Here is a 24,740-nt window from a genome sequence, read left to right on the forward strand (position 1 = left end):
AGAGAAATAAGTACAAAAAGCTCTGAGATAGGCAGGAATATGGTGCATTATGGAAACCAAAGAGAGGAAGGGTGATGGGGAGAGAATGATGATGAGGGCAAAGGGATGCAGAAGCCCAAGTAGTGAAGAATTTTAGGTCAGGAATCTTGACGTTTATTGGAAGTGCAACAGAAACTGCAGTGTGCACTATGCATGAGATAACAAAAATTTAGCCTGTGCTTATAATGGAGAACAGACCAAATCAGTGATAATATATCTAGCTAATATTTACTGAGTGCCTATTAACTACCAAGCACTGTTCTAAACACTTCACTTCACTTCTAAACACTGTTCTTAAACACAAATCTTAACTAACTTAATCTAATATCCCTCTGAGATAAGCACTGTTGTCATCCTGATTGGCAGGGGTCATACAAAACTGGCACTAGTGTTTACGCCACCTGTTCAAGCTTGTAATCAGTAAGTGGCAGAGTGTAGTATGAATCCAGACAAGCTAACACCAGAGCCTCTTTGTTAACCACTATGTTGCATGGCTCCTTTAAGAATGAAAGGATATTGTGAATAATGCCGCAATAAACATACGTGTGCATGTGTCTTTATAGCAGCATGATTTATAGTCCTTTGGGTATATACCCAGTAATGGGATGGCTGGGTCAAATGGTATTTCTAGTTCTAGATCCCTGAGGAATCGCCACACTGACTTCCACAATGGTTGAACTAGTTTACAGTCCCACCAACAGTGTAAAAGTGTTCCTATTTCTCCACATCCTCTCCAGCACCTGTGGTTTCCTGACTTTTTAATGATTGCCATTCTAACTGGTGTGAGATGGTATCTCACTGTGGTTTTGATTTGCATTTCTCTGATGGCCGGTGATGATGAGCATTTTTTCATGTGTTTTTTGGCTGCATAAATGTCTTCTTTTGAGAAGTGTCTGTTCATGTCCTTTGCCCACTTTTTGATGGGGTTGTTTGTTTTTTTCTTGTAACTTGAACCAACCCAAATGTCCAACAATGATAGACTGGATTAAGAAAATGTGGCACATATACACCATGGAATACTATGCAGCCATAAAAAATGATGAGTTCATGTCCTTTGTAGGGACATGGATGAAATTGGAAATCATCATTCTCTGGAAACTATCGCAAGAACAAAAAACCAAACACCGCATATTCTCACTCATAGGTGGGAATTGAACAATGAGATCACATGGACACAGGAAGGGGAATATCACACTCTGGGGACTGTCGTGGGGTGGGGGGAGGGGGGAGGGATAGCATTGGGAGATATACCTAATGCTAGATGACGAGTTAGTGGGTGCAGCGCACCAGCATGGCACATGTATACATATGTAACTAACCTGCACAATGTGCACATGTACCCTAAAACTTGAAGTATAATAATAAAAAAAAAAAGAATGAAAGGATAGAAGCAAATAAACCCATTTGGAGGCCACTACCGTAATAGAAATGAGAGGTAACAGTGGTTTGACCCAAGTGGTAGTAGTGAACATTAAGAAAAGTACATATATTTGAGATAAATTTGGAAAAATAACTGAAAGCATTTATTTACAGTAACGAAAAATGGGAAAGGATCAATAATGCCTTCTGAGTTCTTTTCTTAAACAAGTGGGTATATGGCACTCATTTCTGAATTGGAGAAAAATGGGTTTATGATTGTGTAGGGGGTGAAATCAAGAATTCTGGTTTTGCTATGCTACATTTGAGACACAAATTAAACATGACCTTGGAGATAGCAAGTAGGCACTTGGATAAGTGAGCCTGGGGCCCAGGGGGGATGTCTGGAGCATCATCACCCTACAGGTGAGACATTGAAAGACACAGGCCTGGATACAAGCCCTTGGGGAGGACAGGAGAAGAGGCCAACAAGGTGACTTGAAAGGCAGGAGGAACGCTCAGCGGGGCGGTTCACAGAAGCCACGGAGGAAAATCTTTCCTAGGAGTGGGGCTTGTTCAATTATGTTGAATGCTGCTGAGAGGTCAAGGAAAATGAAGGCAGACAAGGGGAATATTAGATTTGCCAATGTGGTCACTCATGTGCTCGCCAGGACGCATTACGGAGCCAGGATTTTGGAGAGGTTTTGCCATGAAGAGGAGCAGAGAAACAGGATGGCAGTTGCAAAGAAATGGGGGGTCTTTTGCAAATGAAGGTAGTTGTAAAGAAGGAAGGGAGCTCTTTTTTCTTTATAGATGGGGAGTGAGTATGTGCTAATGAAAATTAGCTTGTCAGAGTGACTGAAATGAACACCTCACACTAAGACATGTAACTTACATCTACAAAAGCAAAGTGGAGAGTGGAGTAATTATTTACTGAGTGCCTTCCTTGTTTCTTGGAGACAAAATAATCACTTCACGGATAAACATTCCCAGGATTTCTGAGCTATTTTGGAGCTTCGAGTGCTCCCATAAAAGTCACTCTGGCGAAGCCCTGGGCAGTAAAGGAGGATGCAGGGCCAGGTGAGGTAAGCTCCATTTCTGCAGAAGACTCCGTGCTCTCTCTCTGGAACACGGGCCGAGTACTTGGTTTCTACCAAGCATCAAGTTGTTTGATTTGCACTAGCAGCCCCTGAAGCAGGAATTTGGAGGAGAAAATATTTGGTCCAAATATTTAATGTAGAATGAGTAATGAATCTACCTAGAGGTTTTGGCGAGGGAGGAGTTGGTGTTGAAATTGGGAAACAGAGGCTGACTCTATCACTGACAGAAGAAAGGTGAGCCCTGGCACGGGGGTGGTGAATTTGTCTTTCAAGAGAACTTTATCTTATTTTTTCTTTCATACGGTTATGATCTTTCCAAAATAGGCATGTTACAAATCTTTCTGACCTTCCCTCTCCTTAGCATTATGGGTTTGTTTGCAGTTTCTAGGCCATGCCTTTTTAAAGGCTCAGTTTTTTTTTTTAAGTTTCTTTGGTAGGAGAAGATAAAGGAAAGGGAGAAGAAAGAGAACTAAAAAGACAAGAAGGGAAGAAGAGAGGAGGAGAGACAGAGAGACAGAGCCCAAGAAGATATTTCTTTTATTTTTTTGAGACAGAGTTTCGCTCTTGTCGCCCAGGCTGGAGAACAGTGGCACGATCTCAGCTCACTGTAACCTCTCCCTCCAGGGTTCAAGCGATTCTCCTGCCTAAGCCTCCTGAATAGCTGGAATTACAGGCGCCCGCCACCATGCCTGGTTAATTTTAGTAAAGTCGGGGTTTTGTCCTGTTGGCCAGGCTGGTCTCGAACTCCTGACCTCAGATGACCTGCCCGCCTTGGCCTCCCAAAGTGCTGGGATTACAGGCATGAGCCACCGTGCCCAGCCCCAAGAAGCTAGTTCTTATTCTCTTGAAAAACTTATAATAAAATAACTACAAATCACTTTAAGGACATCTGAATTAAAGTGAGTTGTCTTGTAGCAATGTATCTTTTCCTTTCCTTTCCATTTTTCTTCACAATAAGAATCTGAACATGGTAATGGTCAAGATAGAGTAAGGGATAAAAATGGAAAAAAATAAAGAAAAAGCAATGTTCATCATACTGTTTATGTAATTGTTACATCTGAGTTTTTTCTATTTTGAAAAAAGGAATTGTTTTAGATAACATTTATATCATGGAATTTACTTCTTTTTTAAAAAAAAGAACAAAAGAAGAAAATAGAGTCAAAGAAAAAATATAGTCTAATTCCAGTGACATTCATAATACAAAATTCTAAATTATGAAATTTAGTCTCATAGACAAAATGTCCATCCACAGAAGAATGTTTGAATAAATTATGGTCCTCTGTAGAGTGACACGCCACGCTGTCATTACCATGAATGAGGGGGACTTCCTTGTGCTGACAAGCAATGACAGGTACAGGTACTGCCTGGAATATGCATTCCTTGAGGGCAGGAATAGCCATGCCGGTAGTGTTTATTGCTCTAGCTCAGCAACTAGAAAACTGCCTTGCACACAATAAGTATTCAATAAATATTTGCTTCATGAACAGAAAGGATCACAGATCAATATAGCATGATTTCACTTTGGCAAAAAGCAAAACAAAATACATCATATAAATGTGATTAGCTCCGGTCTGATATATGTGTTTGTATATTTTATAACAGATAAGTTTTTGTTACTTCTGAATTTAAAAATAAAAATATAATTAGCATTAAAGAAAATATAATCCTCATAAACACTCCAGAATCAATAGAAGGGTAGCCTAAGATCCAGAGGGTCTTAAGAATTCTGAGAGTCACGTCAGTCTCTAACCGTGATCCTAACTGCCTGGTCACCCACACACAAAAAGAATAAAGGCTGAGCCAGCTGGTAAAGAGGCAGAGCTCAGAGAAAATCCACACTGAGCAGGGAAAAGTTGAAGGATATGACTTCTAGTGGGATGGGTGAATGCTGTGTGATCTCAACGATAGCATAGCTGTACATTTGAAAACTTGGTTTGGGTTCCCTAAAAAGAGGGGACAGTCAACCTGAAATAACAGGTCTCCTGCTGGAGCCAGAGGAGCCTAGCAGCTGGCAGGGAAGCTTCAGAGCATGAAGACTGTATCCAGCAGTGGCCGGGGCACCAGGTTAGGAGGCACTTTCTGCTCTAGTCAGTGGGAAGAGACTGGGGCTTTCTCAGAATAAAAACCACCTGGAGGGTGGGGTAGGGTGGTGACTAGTGTCAAATCAGACTCCTGGGAAACATGAAAATGTGGCCTGTACTAATTATCTTTTTTATTATTATTATTATTTTTGAGACAAAGTCTTGCTCTGTCACCCAGGCTGGAGTGCAGTGGCGCAATCTTGGCTCACTGCAGCCTCCACCTCCCGGGCTCAAGTGATTCTCATGCCTCAGCCTCCCAAGTAGCTGGAATTACAGGTGTGTGCCACCACACCCAGCTAATTTTTGCATTTTTTGTAGAGATGGAGTTTCATGATGTTGGCCAGGGTGATCTCTAACTCCTGGCCTCAAGTGACCTGCCAGCCTCGGCTTCCCAAAGTGCTGGGATTACAGGTGTGAGCCACTGCAACTGGATATAATTACCTTTTAGATTGTAATCTAGGCTGCTCGTTTTTATGATGGTTTTTGTGACTGAAAAATAACAATTAGAGAAGACAGCACTCCTCACTGCTCCCTAAATATTCCCTGAGCTTTTAAGACTCTGCTTTTACCCACAGTGATCTCTCTTTTTGCCATTTTATGCTTTGCTTCTCAAACTCCTACACAACCTTCAAAACCTTGCTTATGTGCCAGCTCTTGAGTGGGGCATTTTCTGGTTTTCTTAGCAAAAAGATCTCTCTTCTAGATGCCCACAACACTGGAGTCATGGTTCTATTGTGGAGCTTACTCTTTTTGACATTTAGAGATGCTAAACTCCTCAGGACAGGAATGTTTTCTTCATCTAACCAAGCTATTTAATAGAGTACTGAGTACTTTTCTAGTTGCTTTATTTCCCCAACTACTAAGATAGTGCCATGCTCTCAATATATTTCATAAATGAGAGAATTATTCACTTGTTCTGTTCTCATAATTTCTACCAAATTCCAACAAATGCTTACTAAGCAAATGCTAGGAGTGCAGGGGACTATATTGTTCCTGCCTTCATAGGGTTTACAGTCTTGGGGAATCAGGTAACCAAATAAGAAATTTTAAAACTAGGCTAGGCATGGTGGCTCGTGACTGTAATCCCAGCACTTTGGGAGGCCAAAGCAAGCAAGAAATTTTAAAACCAGATAATGTGGAAAGCATAAAGATGGGGGCACCTAACCTGGACATTGAAATTAATCCTTCAGCTTCTTACTCTGATCTATAAATATACTTATTTGTAGTCACATCCAGTCTTATTTCTTTTCTTCTAATTTATGTATCTTTTTTGGTCTACCTCAGTCTTGTTAATACTTCTGCACTATTGTTATTATCTTTCTCTCCCTCAGTCTCTCTGTTTTATTCTTTGCTGTTTACTTCTCAGTTCAAAAACTTTATCAAATACCTGCCACTTGATAAACACCTGATTTTCACTGTAAATGCAATATTTGTTTTTATTCTATTATCTGTTCCCCATCCCAGTTAAACCCTTTAAAAAAGTTGTCTATACTTTGTTACCTCTCACTCATGTCCCAGTTGATGAGAGGTTGATACATCCCATCTCTTGCTCACCACCAATTTGCTGCAATTGTTTCTGCTGCAGCTGTTTCTGCTGAAGATGACTGATAACCTAATGGTCTGATCCTTGAGCACTGTTTAATGCACATTTTACTTAATCTTGCGGTGATACCTAAACCTCTTGGCTACCTACTTCTTGAAACTCTTTTCCTTTGGAAGTGGAGACATTGTCACACCTGGGTCTCATGCTTTATTCCTGAATGCTCATTCTCAGGTGTCTTCATTTCCTTTTCCTGCCTCCTCTTGCTATACCTCAGAGTCCTTCTCCTAGTCCTCTAATTTTCTTCCCCATGCACTCCCCACTAGTAATATTATCAAAACCCTCCACTTCTGCTGGTCACCATCTTAGAATTTTCTTTAGGGCTCCAGACTTTTGTCTAAAATTCAACAAAGCTTAAAATGAACTAATTAACTTGACCCCCTGCCCTTCTCCCCAATCCTGCTATTCCATATTATTCATTCAGTGGAGATTTAGACACAATCCTTCCCCTTCACCTTCCATTTATAGTTGGTGTCTAGACCCATCTGTTCTAGCCCCAAATCTCACACATGTCATTTATCAGTTCTTCACTTAGACTGCAGCAGTGTCCTTCAAAGCAGGCAGACTCCAGTCACTCCTGCCCCCTCCCTGTCCAACACAGAAATAGGAAGACTTTCTAAATTATAAATTTGATCATAACACTTCCTTGCTGAAAACCCTCCACTGGCTCTGCAAGATCTTTAGAAATTGCAAAATGGTAGCCCATGATCCATATTCACCTATGTACACATGCTATTTGTCCCACAGAATTTAAAAGCTGAATTTTTAAAATTCAGAATATGTTTCGTGATGGCACACATATCCAGTTCTAGAGTTCCCTCTGTTGTCTTCTATCCAGGTGGTCTCACTCTTTACATTACTTGCCTAGTTCCTGTATGGACCCTTGAGCTCATGGAAGAAGTTCTGAGCATGGCATAGGAAGTCTTGCATAACCTGACCTGCCTGCCTTTCTGTCTCATTTCATGCTTTTAACTCAAATTTGCTGATGCCAAGGCTCATGTTTATCTACTACACCGCACTAATTAATGTTACTTCTTTTCTTCCTTGGGCTTATGAAATGTGAGAAGCCAATGCAAATAAGACATGGAACAACAAACTCAAATTACAAGGTAGGAGTGTATGTGGGGTGGGTGTGAATGAAAGGGACTGGGACACAGGTGAGTAAAAGTAGTACTGTGGAAATCCCATCCAGATGGGATAATTTATTACCCCATTTATTTCAGTGTCAGGGTTAAGGCAGTAAAACAATTGATTTTTCTAATCCCTGTGTATCATTCATTTTTGTAGCCTAAGCACAATTCCTGATCCTTTGTAGGCATTTAAAGATGCTTACTGAATAAACATGTTTTGGCGAAGGCTTGCAAAAGGCTGAATGTCCTATCACTTCCAGGCCTCAGCTTCTTTTCTTTCTGCCTCCTTCAGTGAATCTACTGGATGTTCAGGGTATACTCTTGGTATCAGTATATCCCCTTTTGGCGTAACCCCAAATCATCCCAATATCACAAAAAGAATATGCAAAATAGTAAAAAGTATAGATATAGTAAATTCAGAAAGAGGATAAATAGGAAAATAAAAAAGGAAATTCTTTCTCCTCCTCCTTACTTTGCTACCATCTGAACACAAGTTAAACCTATTATGTAGACATAAATAATATTATGGCTAAGACTAATGACATGGGACCAGTAAATATAGAGTCAGCAACTACAATTTCCAGGGACTGTGGAGGCATCATTCCACATCCACCTTGCCCCATGGTCACTGGTTTAAACAGCCTGGCTGGCCACCGTTTCTACCATCTTTGATCCTTATTCATCTTGTGATGCTACTTTGGGCATACCCCTCATACTCCTCATACCAAATCCCCAAATACACACAGACCACAAAGAAGTGAGGCTCAGCCTTCAGTGTGCACAAGAGTTATCTGGAAAGCCTGTAAAATGCAGATTCCTGAGCCCTTTCATTTCAAGACAATAGTTTTGGGGTAAGGCCATTGTATCTGAATTTTAAACAAGTTTTACTGAGGATTCAAAAGCAGGCAAACACCATACTCTAAAATTGGAAAACATTCTCATAAAGACAGGTGTTTTAGAACCTGAAAGATTTTCAGGTTAAGTACCTTAATTTGCTTTCAGACATAGTCCAATTCCATCATGTTTACTTTTCACCATTCCTACTGCTAAGAATTGTTGATTAAATGGCAAAAATTTTGCTCTTGGCAAATTGCAGTTACCACATTCTCAAAGAAATACTGCCTATATGCCTTTCGTTTATAATCTATTTCATTAGGTACATGCTTCTGTGGTGAGGCTGCTAAGCATTTGAAATATTTATTATACTACATTTCCTAGGTCTCATTAAAGTGATACTAAATTGATAGGGTCTTTTTTTTTAAATTCACAGGAGGGTAGCAGTCATTCAACTGTAGTATAATTTGGAATTGCAGCTCACTTCACTTTAAGCAGTTCATCTCAGTTCTAATCATTATGTTCAAAGCTTCACTCTATCCAGATGCCAAGTTTCCCCAACTGTACAAAAGCACAGGAGAAATATTTCTGTTTGGCAAGGCCTGGCAAATTTTTGGAGGCGTTGTCATGCCTCAACAGGGCACCAGTCAGGTTATAATTTGCCTTAATTGCTTGTGCCACAAACAGCAACAATGATTACCTCTAGGTCATTGGCACTCAAAGAAAGATTTCTTCCCAGCTACTGTAAATAACAAAATACTTTCTGCAAACACCTTACTTGGGATTAGACTGCAAAGAATCTCAGATTTTGACCATTTAAAAAAATTGACCTGGTACATGTATTTAATGCGTTAAGTCGCACACTTGCCTGTGTATCTGTGTGTGCACATTAGAAACATGAAAATAACTCAGATAAATTACTGTTCTCCCATAAAACAACTAGTCTTCTATCTGCATAATTTGTTCCACCTGCCATGTTTACAAGGCGCCCCAAGGAGAACTAGCTTAAAAGCCAGCAATCCATCTGCCTCTCAGTTCTAAGGGGGTAATTATTGCCTCAACTAAGCAAAGAGGAATGCACGGCATGCTGCTAACCATGTCAGGTGACTGATGTATGTGCCTGACACACTCACCTAGGTCATCGGCTTTTCTAACAGTGGCTAGGGTCATGGTACAGTAACAAACACAATTCACTACTTACAGAAAAGGGGGAGAAAAATGGATAGAGGCTACATTCAATGGGCCAAACCCAGAACACAAACCAACAATGTGGGCTTTATCACTTCTTGTGTTAAAAACAAGAAACATGGGGGAGAAAAGACAGGTTGACTTTATGCCAAAACGCTGGTTTAAACAAACAAACAAACAAACAAAAAACTTTTTTTTTAAAAGGGGACAGGAAAGGAGGTGTTTTGTTTCTATTAACTTCCTATTAACTGTACTTCCTTACGTATTTTTAAAATAAAGCATTAATTAATATTTATTAATAATGTACAATGTTCTACTTGCTGTGCACATAAAATAGGGCCTGACCTCTAATACTGTATAAACTTAACTGTCTCCAACTAAGGTCATAGCGACCAAGACTGAGTACAAACTGTGAGGAATACTGTTTGAAGACTAGAATGATGTCCAAGCACAAAAACACTCATGTGCTGATGAAATGCACAAAACACATGCAGATCTTCAAAGAAATTTCGCTAAGAAGAAGCGATTAAAAAAAACAAAGCTCTTTGGGGACACACCCCAAATGAATTGCAAAAGGTCACACACAACTTCTTCCCTCTGAAATGAGGCAGAGACAACATACAAATTAGCATATAGAATATCAAGTCATTAAATGTTCCTTGCCAAAGCTCCCATGGGAAAGCAAGAGGGAGGCAGTGGAGTGCGGAGGGAAAACAGAAAGTGGGTAAAAATGGACAGATCACTTTGGAAATAGTTCTATTCTTTTCATTTCACAGGCCGGTAAAATTATAAGAAAAACTTGAGGGTGGAGTAGAGAAAACATCAACATTGAGTTGACATTTGTTTTGCTGAAGTATAGCTACCATCCACTATCATGAATTTTTGTTTCATTACAAATGATAGAAAAGCCAGATTCTCAAAATAAAGTATAATTCTTTGTATTAAATAAATGTTTATAAATGTTTATGAAGCTCATTACATTATCTTTTTTAAAAAAGTAAAAATTTTAGAACATATGACGCTTTTCATAATTAATGCTTTTGATATAGATTTGAGGAAAGAGTCTCCAGTTTGCAGTTCTGAAAATGTAATTTTCAAATTAAATTTCATTGCATTTGAGGTGACACCTTCCTCTATAATTTCATTACCAGATTGTAAGAATTCCCTTAACTAGGCATGGCCCCTTTTACATGAGTGAATGTGATGATTTATAAAGAAGAGAAGCTAATACAGGAGGATTACTGGAAGGTTGCGAAGCTATGATGACAATAGATCCCTTTAAATTATTTTAGCTTTGTTCTAGTAAAGGATGGTATTTTTTAATATTTGTATGCACCTTGTTCTCTGACTTAACTGCCGTGATTAAACAACGAACACACCTTCTGGCCTCAGTGTTGGAGTGGCTGGATTAAAACGAGCGATTTCCCCCTGCTGGTTGGACATGTCTTACATTCTCTATCTCACTGCCTCCAGCGTTAACACTCCCTGTAGTACCAAACCCATTTATTTTCCACCCACCAACCGGCCTCCTAAAGCATCATTAACATGCCCCCAAAGGCCTTGCTGCTGTCAATTTTAGCCTACACAGCACTCAAAAGCCTTTGTGGGGTTTATCAGAGTTCTGTAGGAAAGGAAGAGAAAGGCATTAGACTCAAACCTTGGGGAACTGACAGCACAGGAAGATGAAGAGAGATGAGGGAGAGGCCCAGGAATGGAGGAAATCCTATCTGCAGGCAGGGTGCAAGGCTCAAGATTGAAAGGTTGTTCAGAGACACCCATAATTATATGCTTCTGCCACTCAATTTTCATCTAGTTAATAGCAAAAAGATCAATATCTACTTTCGATTTTCATGTACAGCATTATAGCCTTAGCCAGAGACAGGTCTCCTAGGAAGGAGGATGATTCAGGAAGTGGGTCCGGGGAAGAATGATTCATAACCAAAATCAATAATCATATTGGTTTGCCTTCATATATTCTAAAATATATTTGGGGTTTTCCTTTTTTTTGTTGTTGTTTTGAACAACTTTTTCTTTTTTTCTGATAACACTACTCACCCTGAAATCCCTCACAGAGGAATTGATTACAGGGAGAGAATACCAGGAATAAATGTGGAACTGAGTTATGTACACAAAGCTCTGTCAGTTTGAAATGACGTGCCCAGAGTTCATCCACACTCACCAGGGTGAGCTCTGGGCTCCAAAACAGAGTTAAAGTAAACAGCATTACATTCTGCAAATATGACTCTAGATTCTAGGAATACTAACTGTGATAGCTTCTCAGTTATCCTTTTGTTTTCTTCTTGGGGGAATAGTAGGCAAAGCAGCAGTGGGTTTCCATCTTAAACTAGATTCATGTGATTCAAATATAAAGAAATAAGTTTTAAAACATAATATTTTGATAGGGTTTTTTTTTTCAGAATCAAGCAGACAATTTGATTAGCAAATTGTTAGCAAAAAATTAGTTAGCAAAAAAAAAAAAAAAAAAAGTAGGCAGTGCAGAATTTCCAACATACAACTTATGCAGAGGACAGAATAACTTTGTGGAAGTATGTAATAAATCCAAAGCTGCATTTATAAAATCCTTGAAAAATGTAGCTGTGAGCCCTAAATGCAGTGGAATGTTAGGTCCTGCTAAATTAGAGCATTAATCATAGCATCCTGATTCATGTGTTTCTTCTCATACATGTGTTAATCTTCAAGTTCCATGTTCCCTAAATAAGTTCTAAAACATTATCCACTGTGAAACATTCTTCACTAGTCATAAGACAGTCACTCCTTTAAATTTTACCCAAATTCCTAATACTTCTCAAGTAACTCCTTCTAAGTCATGTGCTTCAATGGGAATAAAAAGCTCTGTCAAATGATAATGGTGGCACCTTCAGGAACTATCAAGAGATTTGTGCCCTTACCAAACATGCTCACAACTTTAAGGAAACTTTCTTAATCACGTGCCCAAACAGACATCCATAGTTCCTTGTATTAAGAACCATCATTTATTAAGCACTTCTGTAAGCCAGGTACCGTGTAAGGTGAACATTTAGGTACTGGTCTCATTCAACTTCACAGCCACTCTACAAGGCAAGTATTATAATCTCATTTTATGGATGTAACAACTAAGGCTTAAGGAGGTTAAGCAACTTGCTGAAGGTCACACAGTATGTAAGTGGTGAAAGGGCCAGGGATTCCAGCCCTTCAGGCTTGACAGATCACAAAGCCTGGGCTCTTCCCTACTAAACCATAAGGCCAGGCCAGCCTTAGGCTATAACTCTCCTTGATCTTGACCTCATTTATTAGGAATTGCTTTATCTTTGGGGAATTTTATAATTAGAGGTACACAGGCTTCTAGAAGTTGCTAGTATAAAATTCAATCCAATATTTTTTCTACATTTAACAAAGGAATGCATCTTTAAAAACAGTCATAGAATGGCAGTAATTAAAAGATCAGGAATGGACAGATGCTGGAGAGGATGTGGAGAAATAGGAACGTTTTTACACTGTTGGTGGGAGTGTAAATTAGTTCAACCATTGTGGAAGACAGTGTGGCGATTCCTCAAGGATCTAGAACCAGAAATACCATTTGACCTAGCAATCCCATTACTGGGTATGTATCCAAAGAATTATAAATCATTCCACTATAAAGACACATGGACACGTATGTTTATTGCAGCACTGTTCACAATAGCAAAGACTTGGAACCAACCCAAATGCCCATCAATGATAGACTGGATAAAGAAAATGTGGCACATATACACCAAGGAATACTATGCAGCCACAGAAAAGGATGAATTCATGTCCTTTGCAGGGACATGGATGAAGCTGGAAACCATCATTCTCAGCAAACTAAACAGAGGAACAGAAAACCAAATACCGCATGTTCTCACTCATAAGTGGAAGTTGAACACATGGACACAGGGAGGGGAACATCACATACCAGGGCCTGTCAGGGGGTGGGGGCTAGGAGAGGGATAGCATTAGGAGAAATACCTAATGTAGATGATGGGTTGATGGGTGCAGCAAACCACCATGGCATGTGTATACTTATGTAACAAACCTGCATGTTCTGCACGTGTATCCCAGAAATTAAAGTATAATAAAACAAAGGAAAAAAGTCATAGAAACAAGAAGTTAGATTTTACATTCGAAATTATAAGCTAGAATAACATATGAAAATTCAGGTGTGAGATTCCAATAAACTGAACTATATGAAACTGCTGTGTTTGTAGGTCACAACAGCCAGAAATGTACCACCTTCTACAATTCATCCTAATAGTAGAAGTGTAGTTCTAGGCTATAAGGGACCCAGTATGGGCCCATTCACAATGCACCTGCAGTGCACACGCTTCACGCCTCTGGTGGCCTCCCGAGGGTACTGTACCTGAGCAGAAGCTGTTGCTGCTAACGGTCCTCGCTGAGCGCCCAGAGCTGCTGGGGTTGAACTCTCTGCTCTCTTCCTCAGAGAAAGGAGACTCAGAGGCTGGGGACACTTTGTGCTGTTGTTGGGGCATATGGGGCCGAAGAATCAACCGGGGAATTCGGCTTCGAGAAATCTCCTTGTCATGATGCTGCACTCTGTGCTCCTTCTCAAAATTGGACATCAAAAAAGAAAACAAAAGGAAACGCGTTTCCCTCTCTTAACTCCTGTCGGTTCCTTCAAGGATCAATTTCTAAGAAATCACATTTCTGAGTATTGAGTCTTCACAGAGTAGTCCTTCTTATCTCAGTTGCTGAAATGAGCTTCAAAACTCTTCCAATGAGTTAACCTTTCTAATCTACTGAATAGCACATGTCTGTGTGGCACACACACACACACACACACACACATATACACACCTCCACTCACTAGCTGGAAGGCCATCCTACTTCCCTATGCTGGTCCTGACTCACCTTCCCACCCTGACTTCTATCACATTCAAGCTTCTGCCTCCCAAAGGCTCTTTATTAACACCACACTCTGGCTTACTTGATAGCCTTCAGACTTCCATTTTGCTTTCCCTAAATTAGCTGTGACAGTCTGACTTGTTTTCTTGTCTCCTCACAAAGTTGAACCCTATACCTGGAACAGTTATTTCCTGATAGCTCACACACAATTATCTTTAAAATCCCTCCTCTTCTGGACAGGATCTTAATTATTCGTTAATATCCTGGTACACAAGGCTTGTTGCCAACAGAAAAGCAAACACAAATCCGATACTCGGGAAGATGGCTCCACCTTTTACATCATCTTTAATTTTTGTTTTCCTTACAGGACATCCATAAGAAGAGATTTTTCTTTCTCCTTAAAAACGCAGCATGAAGTACCCTGCCATTTCGTGGTTTTAAAAATGCGTAACAGTAATATTTTCACAATGTTTTCCAACTTATAAAGTGCTTTTCCAACCATTTTCTCATTTGATCTTTACACACCAGACTGTACATAGAGAGCACACCAATGAATGTCCCTATTTTCAGATGAGGAAACAGGCTAAATGGGGTAGAGATGCTTAGGCAATTCTGCACACCATGCCAGAAGTAGAACGAAATTCAAATCCAGTGCTTTGCAGGGTCACCACCACCCTGCCTTATGAAAATGGATTCCTAGGAGGAGCGTTTTGCAAAAATTCCACTGCTTCCTCCAACCTCTGCCACTGAAAGGGACTCTTTGGCTTAGGTAACAAACACCCTTTCGAAACATGACCTACTGTTCCTTCCACCGGCTTACCAGGAAGGGTCACGGCCAAAATAAACACCTCTGGGAGGCCGGCACATGGCATAAATTGAAGGGTAAACCTCAGCAATGGGGAACTTCGGAGGGCCCTCAGGCATCCACTCTACCCGGGGGCCGCCAGCCGCACGCAGCCTCGGATTCGCCCTGCACATCTGCCGCCCAGCAGGTACCATGCGCCAGCCACTCCGCCGGGCACACCGCAGACCCTGAGCTAAGGCAGGGTCACTGACACGCGGGAGTCCTCTTTTCCCAGTCGCGGATGCATCAAATTCCTTTCATTCACATCACACACACAGGATATCAACTGAAAGCTACACCCCACAGTCCCAGTTTCAGGAGGTGGGATTAACCCTCCAATCATGTCATTCTCCAAAATCTATTCCTCCAGTACCACCTCCCCATCTCCTGGATCTCAACTCCTAAGCAATGCCTCCTGCCTTCTCCAGACCCCACCACCACCTCCTTCCACCTTTCCCCAGACTCTAAATGTCACCCCTCCAGCTCTCATCCCGCCGCTTCTCGCCCCGCAGTGCCCGCCTTCCCCGCCCTCCAGTGCCCGCACTGCCCCGCGCTCCTTACCTTGCTCTCGCGGAGGGGCCCCATCGCGCCGCTGCCCGCCGGCTCCTCGCGCCGCCGCTGCCGCCGTCCAGGAGGAGGCACCTGCGAGCACGGAGCGAGGAGACTGCGCTGAGCCGGCGCGGGCTGCGGGCGGCGGCTCTTGGTGAGGCTCCAACGCGCCGCCGCCGCCACTGCCGCCGATTGCTCTGGGCTCCGAGGGCACGCCCGACCCCGCCCCGGCCGGACACGTGGTGCCGCACTCGCTAGAGGCAGCTCCTGGGGCGCCTCCCACGCCCTCCCTCACCTGCGGCCTTCGGGGCAACTCGACCGCGCCTGGGCGCGCCCCACCCGCCCGATTTCCCCACGGCACTCCGCGCCCCCCCAGCCAGAGCCGGTGTCCCTCCCTCTCCAAGGAGCTCGGCCCGGTGTAGGCAGGCTGCGGCTAGCGGCATCTCCAGCCCAGGGGTGACCCCACCCTCTTTTTTTTTTGCACTTGATCTCAGGTTTGAAGTGGGTGGCGTTGGATGGAGTGACTGAGAAAAGCTGCGACATCACAGAGAGACAAAATAGAGAAAGTTTTCCCCTGGCCACCCCTCCTTGGCCTCCAGGTCTTAAGTCAGCCTACAGCTCCCCACAACTGCCTCGCCCGAGAGCTGCAGAGATCCCTCTCGTACCGGAGCCCAGCCAAGCCAGTGCGTCAGGACCGACACAGCCTCTGGGTTCCGGGATCTGAAAGGCTGCGATGGATTCTACTTGGAAGGGGTTGCATCAGAAAGGCCTTCAGTGGTCAGCGCAGCTCCCTCCGGCTTGGAGAAGCCAGGCTGCTATGTAGCCAGAGAACAGTCTTTTCCCCAGCGCTGCCCTGCAGCTGCCCGGCTCCAGGAAGTAGCTCCAGCACACTGCTAAGGGAAGAGCACTGGAATTGAACTCAGAAAAACGAGTTCAAGCCAGCACTCCAATCGGTCCCTTCAGCCTGAGTGCCTTTATGCCTAAAGTTTTTGTTGTTGTTTCGTTTTTTGTTTTTTTTTTTTTCCGTTGCTGTTGAAACGGCATCTCGTTCTGTGGCCCAGGCTGTAGTACAGTGGCGCGATCAGGGCTCACTGCAACCTCTAACTCCTGGGATCAAGGGATCATCCCGTCCAGGCCTCTCAAAGTGCTCGAATTACATGCGGATGCCATTGCATGCGTGGCCTACGCCTACGGTTCTTGACCCTTCTGAACTTCAAATTTACCCTTGTTAAATTGAGGGATAATAATAGTGATACCTACCTCTAGGATAGCTGTGAGGGTTAGGTGAGGAAAACAAACAGCTCTATCCAGCTGATTGAACAGAACTTTCCAAAGGGCAGCTAAGTCAGGTCCAGATGATCCAGTCAATATTTGTTGATGCCTTTTACATGACAGGCAGAAAAAGCATTTGTGATGCACACAAATTTGTTTAAGAAAGCTCGAAAATCTGTCCAACTGGGGACTTAGAATAGGGTACATCAGCTGGGCCAAGGGCCTTGATTTATTACAATTGCTACCCTTAAATCTTATCTGGTGGTGGAATTCACCATGTATAATGACTTATATACCCTTTATTCAGAATTGGAGAATATTCCAAGCAGTGCGACACTCTGATCCTTATGCACCAGTGTCCTACATAGGAGGACTGTGCTCCTCGAAAACTGAGGGTCATTGTCCCCTTTCATCCATCCTCCAAACAGCATTTCTGAGTCCTCAACTCTCAAGCCTAAGAATATATGTTGTGAGTCTAGAGAGAGCCTGAAGCCAGAGGATTAGTGGAATCAATTTCCCTTCTTCCTATAACTCCAAAAGAGAGCTTCCTCCATAAATCTTCATGCCTTTTCAATCTACTTAGCTCTCTCAAGCAGTGAGGTTGGTAATTTTAAGATTCTTTATTTGGGAAGAAGAGGTGATTAATTCATACTTTCTACACCCACAGCTGTTTCAAATATGGACCTCAGGAAAGTGATGGTCCAGGATGATTCATACAACTTATTATTCCTAAAATTATGAGCCTGGGATCATATACTGTGAGATAAGAACAAACTTTTAAAGTTAATGGATGCTTCTGAGTTCCCTACTTAGAATTGAGAATTGACACTGGGGACCTAATAGCAGAAACACCCTCCACTGAGTTAGCCAAGTCAGAACCTCAGTGTCATCGTGGACTTTTTTCTCTCATTCACCTGACCCACACATAGCATAAACCACCAAGTGATCTCTATGCCACCCAAGTAATAACGGTCTTGAATCTGATTACTTCTGTCCACTATTTGTCTCCATTATCTTCGTGTAGAGTGTAAACCACAGTCACCCTAGATTATTGCAATAGTGGTCTAACTCAAGGTCTCTTGCTTTCAGCCTTGCCTCTTATTCCTTTCTCTCCGATCAGTGTCTCCATTTTTCCACAAGCCTTTATGAAAAGCTAAATCAAGTCATGCTTCTCCGTGAAAACTCATTAATGATTTCCTGATTGTCCTCCAGGTAATACTGAAACTCCTTAATGTGGCACACAAGGCTTTCCTGATCTGGCCGCCTTGTTTACCTCTCCGATCTCATTTCTTGCCACTCCTCTCTTTTGTAGATACTCCCTCCCCTCCCTAACCTGTCCCTTTGGTCCCTGCCACTCTTCCCTTACATACAAATGGATACTGCTCAAACTGTAGCACTTTCAGTTCTCGGAGGTGGAGGTTTTGTATTCTCTTTTTCGTCGAGACTGCTGCACCTGCCTCTGTTTAGAACATTTCTTGCACTACATCCACCTATCCTCCTCAACTCTTAAAGATACATTGTTTCATTTTAGACAGCTTCTTCCAGGAAACCTCCCCTGATGATTCCAGGACACTTATTTTTACCCCCAAGAGAGCTGTTATGATCTCCTCAGAATTCCCCATTTACTTGTTTGTTTTCACCAAAGCTTGTAGGCAGTGCCTAGTACAATTCCTGTTATACAGTTGACACTCAATACATAACTGTCAAATGAATTAATGCCTGAATGAGTGAATTCTATAACCCCATAAGGGGCCCATCAGTGCAAGATAAAGAACATAGATACAACTTGTTTTGAAAATGATTCAGATAAAGCTGCCTCCACAATGTATTTGTATCTGATGATTGGGTGTGTGCCTAAAAAATCCAACATGTGTTCAGTGACAGCTTTTACTGCAGAAGTGCAGGCACTGAGAGGCTGTGCAGTAGCCTTGCTGTCGCCATAGCAACCTAGCAGAGGGAAAGGCTGATGATTTAGTGTTCAGATGCCTCTTAGCTCTGTACTTTTGGAACCCAAGCCTGTTTTTCCACTGTTCTAAAAGGCAAGTTTTACCGATGATAATATCTATGCCGCCTTAATTTCATTCAAGTGTTTCTCATGTCATTAGAAGAAATGTCTTGTAACATTTGGATTATACCATCAAAGAGATATAATCTAATACAGCATAATATGGTCTTCTTTCCCCTGCTTTAAAATAGTCTTATGCATCATTTTCATTTTTTACTTAAAGACTTACTTTATGGTCTTGTTTTATCACCTTTTGGCTTCTTTAAAAATTAATGTATTTCTGGCTTTTAGAAAATATCAATTGCTTTAGGATTTAACCTTGAAATATTATAAATAATATATAATAATATATATATACAATAATATATATATATAATATATATATATATCTCCTGGCAAAGCACAGGAGAGATAGGGTATTGTAGACTGGGAAGGAAGGTAATGTCTTTATATAATTATTCCCTCAAATCTGGGATAAGTTACTTGATTGTTTATGTGAAATTTGTAATTAAATGATTCCTACCTTTCGTATGCACAAAACTTTATATTTTCAGAACTCTTTCACATATATAATTTTATTTGAGCCTCACAAAAATCCCGTGAGGTACATGTGGCCAATCTCTGAGACCAGATAACTGAAAAAGCATAGATTTTTATTAATAGGAATCCCCTAGACTGCAAACTTCACAGAGAAGACAATACAAATGCACTGCTGAAAAGAAAACGCCTGCACCAAACAACCCAGACACATCACGGTCCCTCACATTCACTCTTCCTCACATCTCACCTGTGTATGCAGGGGGTTTTCTTGGGCTCAATCAGGGCTGACAAAGCACCATCTCCTAATCCTATCAGCTGTGTGAGCAAGAGCTGCTGTCTCTCTCGGTGACCTAATGTTGGGTGATCTGCACAGCAACAAGGAGCAGCTGACGTGCTTCACAACACGTCACGAAGGAAAGAAACTGCATTCTGGGGCATCGTGAGATTTTTTTGTGTGTGTGGTGGGGTGGGGTGGAGACCCATATTTTTCTTACCAGGGAGAGAGCTGCCTGTTTTCCCATAAGAGCATGTGTGATTGATCAACCCTCCTCCTTTTTTTTTTTTTTTTTTTTTTTTTTGGAGACAGAGTCTCACTCTGTCGCCAGGCTGGAGTGCAGTGTGGTGCGATCTCAGGTCACTGCAACCTCCGCCTCCTGGGTTCAAGCTATTCTCCTGCCTTAGCCTCCTGAGTAGCTGGGACTACAGGCGCGCACCACCACACCAGCTAATTTTCGTTATTTTAAGTAGAGATGGGGGTTTCACCATGTTGGCCAGGATGGTCTCCATCTCCTGACCTCGTGATCTGCCCGCCTCGGCCTCCCAAAGTGCCAGGGTTACAGGCATTAGCCACCGTGCCCAGCCCAACCCTTGTCTTAATGTATGTGTGTTATCATTACTATAGGTTGAGGTACTTTGATGCTGTAAAACTGAAATGACTAGAATTGCACAAGATCACTCCCCCAGGAGGTGGCATAGAGGTGCTTGGGGCAGAGAGGGCAGTGGGTAACCTGAGGCAGGCCATGCTTGAACATTCACTGGGCTCAGAATGTGTCAATTATCTCTGCCCGACAAACGAGTGTTCAGTCAGAGTATTCTCTCAGTGAATAACAGAAATTAAGGGCAAGTCCAGGGGAAGAGGCAGAGGTTGGGGGCTTGGAACGTTGAAGGATGGTAAGGGTCTAATCCTCTGATGCCTTATGGGAGAGCAGACATGAGATAGCCTCCCCCAAAATGGCTTTTTGTTTGTGGCCTTTGGTTCATCTTTGAAAATAGGGTAGGATATTTGTCAAAAACATAGGCACGGTGATTGCATTAAACAAAATGGGGACACATTGTTGGACAAGTAGGTGTACACTTATTAGGAAAATGAATCAGAATGATTGAAATTAAGACGCTCTGGAAAGTATGCGTGTAAAGGTTGCCATCTAAGTAGGGGAAACTGAGACTTGACATTTACCTAGTGAAATGCTTCATGTGATTAGACAATCTGTTGGTCTCACAGGTGTACAGAAAAGGCAAAGGATGTTATCTGTAAGACATGAAAAGGAAAGCCTAAATCCAGTAGATGAATTCTGGGGCTAATAGAGAAGCACCTTCCTTCCCCAAGAAACCAGAAAGTGTGGGAAAAGCAGCTGAAAGTTGCCTGAACCCAGGAGGGCAGCTATAGAGAGAGGATGCTTCTCAGACATGCCAGACACAGAGCAGATACACAGGCTGGAGGCTCTGAGGGGTTCACTCAGCATCCATAGCAGTCTAGGCTTAGAAAAAAAATTGTAATCTGGGTTCCTGGAAAGCAGAACAATGGTAGATTTGAGTTACATTAAAAACAATATGTTCTCCATAATGCACTTTATTTCCATGATTTTATATTTTTTGCTTCCACTTTCTAGTAAACATCTTAAAAAATAACTTTGTCTTTATTTCTGCTGAGAAAATGAGAGCAGGTGCAAAAGAGGAAGACTTTGAGTGTCTCTTCTCAAAGAGCAAGAACACTATTGCCAAATGGAGCTGAGCACCCCCAGAGGCCAACCAACTACTATGATGGCAGCTACAGCAGGGAATGGTTGGGCTGTTGGTGTGGGGGTCACTGGTGCAGTTGTAGAGCTGAGGATAGTTTTGATTGCTGCTTTATTCCCACTTCCTAGGTTATTCCTGTGAACCACTGTCCTTTATACCTGAAATCTTGTGACCTTGTGAGTAAAGCTAGCCTTTGCTGTGTACTCCCAGCTCCTCTCTAACGCACTGCAGAAGAATTTGTAGGAAAATAAAACTAGAATTTGGGAATCTGGCCTATGTAGTTTCATCTGCCCATGTGTCCTTTTTAGCTACTTCTGCTTATCAAGAGAAAAAATATGCCTTTTTAAAATGATAACTATTTTTTTCTTAAAAAAGGATACTAAACCATGTTATAAAAATTTTAGAAAAGAAAAAAGATACTCATTATCTCATTGCCTTAACATCAATTATCCCTATTCCTTCTGTTAGCAGTTTCATGTATTTACTTTCAGGCTTATCTACTGTGCATCAAAACCAGCATGTTAAAATAAGAATGAAATTCTAAGTGGCATATGGCAAGTGAAGTTACTACTCCCTTCTGTCTTTTCTCAGATTATCAGGGACTGATCTGAGATACAGGGATCTCGGGCCTCCTTATCACTACTGACAAACAGCTGAGGCTGCTGCTGGAAGCCTAGAAGTTTCAGGATGGCTTCCTAGATATCTGGTCCTGGTGGAGACCGGACCCATCTGAAGCTTCAGAAAAAGTTGCTGGTGGGGAATTAGCAAAGCTAAGGCTGGAGAAATGACCTTAACTCAGAGGCTGGTAGAAAAGTACCTGTGCCCCTTTCTAATCAGAAGCCCAGCTACCAGCTTGCCATAATGTGAACCTAATTCAGGGAAGCACTGGAAAGTGAAATGAGTTTCCCAAGTCTGGAAAAACATCTGTGATGAGAAAATGTAGTTTAATAAAGGACATGAATTCTTGAGTCTCATAGGCCTGAAATTGAGACTTTTTTTTTTTTTTTTTTTTTTTTTTTGCTCTGACAGTGCTACTCCAGTCAAGTTATTTAACCCCTGTAGGACTCAACATTCAGTATGTGCACATTAGCTAAAAAGGAAAGAAGAACCAGTTGCACTAGTTAATGTCTTTGGGCAAATTAACTTTTCTGTGCCTCATTTTCACATCTAGAAAATAAACTTAATAACAGTAATTAGTTCATAATACAGTTATAGGGATTAGATAAGAACAGACGCAAAGCCTAGCATTTATATCTGGCACATGGTTAGAGCTTAATAGATATCCTCTGTCCCTCAGGATCAAATGGCTCCAACCACCATTGCTGTGTCTTGCTTGCTTGTTTCACATTCACCTCATCCTAAAAAGTTTCATCTTAATTTTTATTAAAGGGAAGCAATAAGTTTTCTCTCGATGACTTATGGCATATAAAGGAGGACACTGAATTTCTCATTAGAAAAGATATTGCCAGGACTTTTCCTCCAGAAGGTAGAGTAGAAGGCATGATGAATGCACAGACACCTATCACTCATTCATTCATTCATTCATTCATCCATCCATCACTTCTTACTTCATTCCTATTCTGAGCCATGCACTGCCTCAGCCACTAGTTCCGAAGTATTCAAAGATGAACAATGATTGCTGCCTCAAGTGTCCCAAGGTCTAATAGAGACACGGACATGACCATCAGCTGATAAACTATTCAGTGTGTTTGCATGAGATCTGGACACCCAGAGGGCTTGCCAGTATCTAAATTAGACTGGGGTCTGAGATGTTCAGGGGTGAGTTTTAAGATGAATTTTGAAGCATTGAATACATCCTATTATAATCTGGTTTCTTCAGAGTTCCTTTCTCTTTATTGTTCCTCTCCTCTCTTCCTCCTCTTCTTCTTCCTTTTTCTCCTCCTCCTCCTTCTTTTTCTACTCTCTCTCTCTCTCCCTTTTTTTTCCCTACTTTGAGATACTTCTGCCACCGTCCAGGCCCCAAGGATTGATGCGGAGGAAAACAGCTTTTGGGCTTCCCCTTGAATCTTTACTGCCTGGATGTAACCTTCTAGAAGAAAGGGATTTTTCTCAAATCTTGATCACCTAGGACGGCATCAAGACAATACCTGGTGTTTTGTTAATTAGCAATAGTTGACATTTTAAGAACACCATGTTATACTGCCACCTATGGATTTGTTCATGAAATTTTTTTTTGACAGGTAAAGTCTCTTGGCCTGAAACGTAATAAGGGTTAATAATGCCTTTATTCTAACTCTCAGGGCAATTTCAGAAAACTTTCAAAATATACGGCTATACGAAACTGGATGTCAATAAATGGAACATTATTTGGTGGTTGTGAAATAATGAGCAGGTGCTTTGATAGACAATGGTTCCAAACTCCTTTCTTCTGTTTACCTGCTGAACCACTTTAGGCAAGCTAGGTAACATCTCTGTATCTTGGTATTCTTATTTGTAAAATACATGCGTGGTTCTACTTCATAGGTCTATTTTGAGGATTAAATTCTATAACACTTGTAATAAGCCCAGCATAGTCCCTTGTACAAACTGGGGATTTAACAATAGATTTCTTGGTCTCCTTTCTTCTCCCCTTCCTCAATTCACAATGACCCAGAGGAGGATAAACTATGTAATTCCATTTTAGCTGAACAGTCAGGTAAATCTCTCTAAAACAATAATGATAAATGATGTTCATATGGTCACTACATTATGTATTCCTAGGCATCTATTTTATTTTTTAAAAAAATACTAATCTTTATATTTTTGAGCAGTTTTAGGTTTACAAAAAAAATTAAAAGGTATAGAGAGTTCCCATATATCCCCTTACTGAGATCTATCCCAATCTACCTGATTAGTTAGGTATAATTATACTATGGCTTTTGAAGAAAGTGTAAATAAGTGCCCATCAAATGGATCTATATCTCCCATCTTCCCCTGCCCTTTGCCTGCCTATTACCTTTGGATTTGCCTCCAAGGTCTTCTCTGTCTCCCATGGTGGATTCAATGCCAAGACTCCTAGAAGTTTCCCAAAAGTCTTAACAGCACTGCCTCTCCTATGACCCGAAGCTGAGCATGGTGGGAAAACCCCACAACCCTGTGGATGAATGACACTGCATGCTCTTGCTTTTCACCTGCAGTGGGCCTCAGTGCTGCCTGGCAATCATTTTGGGCTTCTAGTGCATGTTCTCTCCTATTCTCCACAATGTCTATTTTAAATCTCCTCCATACTTCAAATCTACCAGCCTACCACCCCTGCCCTCATGTTGTACAGATGGCCATTTCTCCTGATTGACAGACAAAAATAGGAG

At 41.7% G+C, this 24,740-nt stretch overlaps 1 protein-coding gene and 1 long non-coding RNA gene across 18 annotated transcripts in view, besides 4 other annotated features; one reads left to right on the forward strand and one right to left on the reverse strand.

The window, feature by feature from the left end:
* The window catches only part of SYBU (syntabulin), a 117,623-nt gene that overhangs the window by 55,047 nt on the left and 37,836 nt on the right, over positions 1 to 24,740 (reverse strand). For 2 of the 17 annotated variants that reach the window (NM_001099744.2, NM_001099745.2), the window contains exons 2-3: positions 15,612 to 15,692; positions 13,704 to 13,908 (exon numbers count right to left, since the gene is read on the reverse strand). The exons of 1 other annotated variant lie outside the window; for it this stretch is intronic. In NM_001099744.2, the coding sequence (NP_001093214.1) occupies positions 13,704 to 13,908; positions 15,612 to 15,635 (229 nt within the window). In that variant the 5' untranslated portion in view covers positions 15,636 to 15,692. Of the gene's footprint in view, positions 1 to 13,703; positions 14,167 to 15,611; positions 15,799 to 16,264; positions 16,570 to 16,859; positions 17,079 to 19,663; positions 19,779 to 24,740 lie in introns of those variants that run through there. 14 more of the 17 variants (NM_017786.6, NM_001099750.2, NM_001099747.2 and 11 more) reach the window with 14 other exon arrangements.
* On the forward strand, positions 15,105 to 21,704 carry SYBU-AS1 (SYBU antisense RNA 1). The gene is made up of 2 exons (NR_161375.1): positions 15,105 to 15,198; positions 16,094 to 21,704. It is a non-coding gene; the product is annotated as an SYBU antisense RNA 1 (long non-coding RNA).
* Positions 15,563 to 16,052: a silencer, noted in NCBI's record as "silent region_19471". NCBI's record gives its function as "represses an Ori minimal core promoter by ATAC-STARR-seq in GM12878 lymphoblastoid cells {active_cell/tissue: GM12878}" and the evidence as "EXISTENCE:reporter gene assay evidence [ECO:0000049][PMID:35858748]".
* Positions 15,563 to 16,501: a biological region, named in NCBI's record as "H3K4me1 hESC enhancer GRCh37_chr8:110656818-110657754".
* Positions 15,565 to 16,501: an enhancer, noted in NCBI's record as "H3K4me1 hESC enhancer chr8:110656818-110657754 (GRCh37/hg19 assembly coordinates)". NCBI's record gives its function as "activates a minimal SCP1, AML or CMV promoter by ChIP-STARR-seq in naive H9 embryonic stem cells {active_cell/tissue: H9 hESC(naive)}" and the evidence as "EXISTENCE:reporter gene assay evidence [ECO:0000049][PMID:30033119]".
* Positions 16,163 to 16,482: an enhancer, noted in NCBI's record as "active region_27814". NCBI's record gives its function as "activates an Ori minimal core promoter by ATAC-STARR-seq in GM12878 lymphoblastoid cells {active_cell/tissue: GM12878}" and the evidence as "EXISTENCE:reporter gene assay evidence [ECO:0000049][PMID:35858748]".

This window comes from Homo sapiens, chromosome 8, assembly GCF_000001405.40.
Source record: "Homo sapiens chromosome 8, GRCh38.p14 Primary Assembly".
NCBI classification, from domain to species: domain Eukaryota; kingdom Metazoa; phylum Chordata; class Mammalia; order Primates; family Hominidae; genus Homo; species Homo sapiens.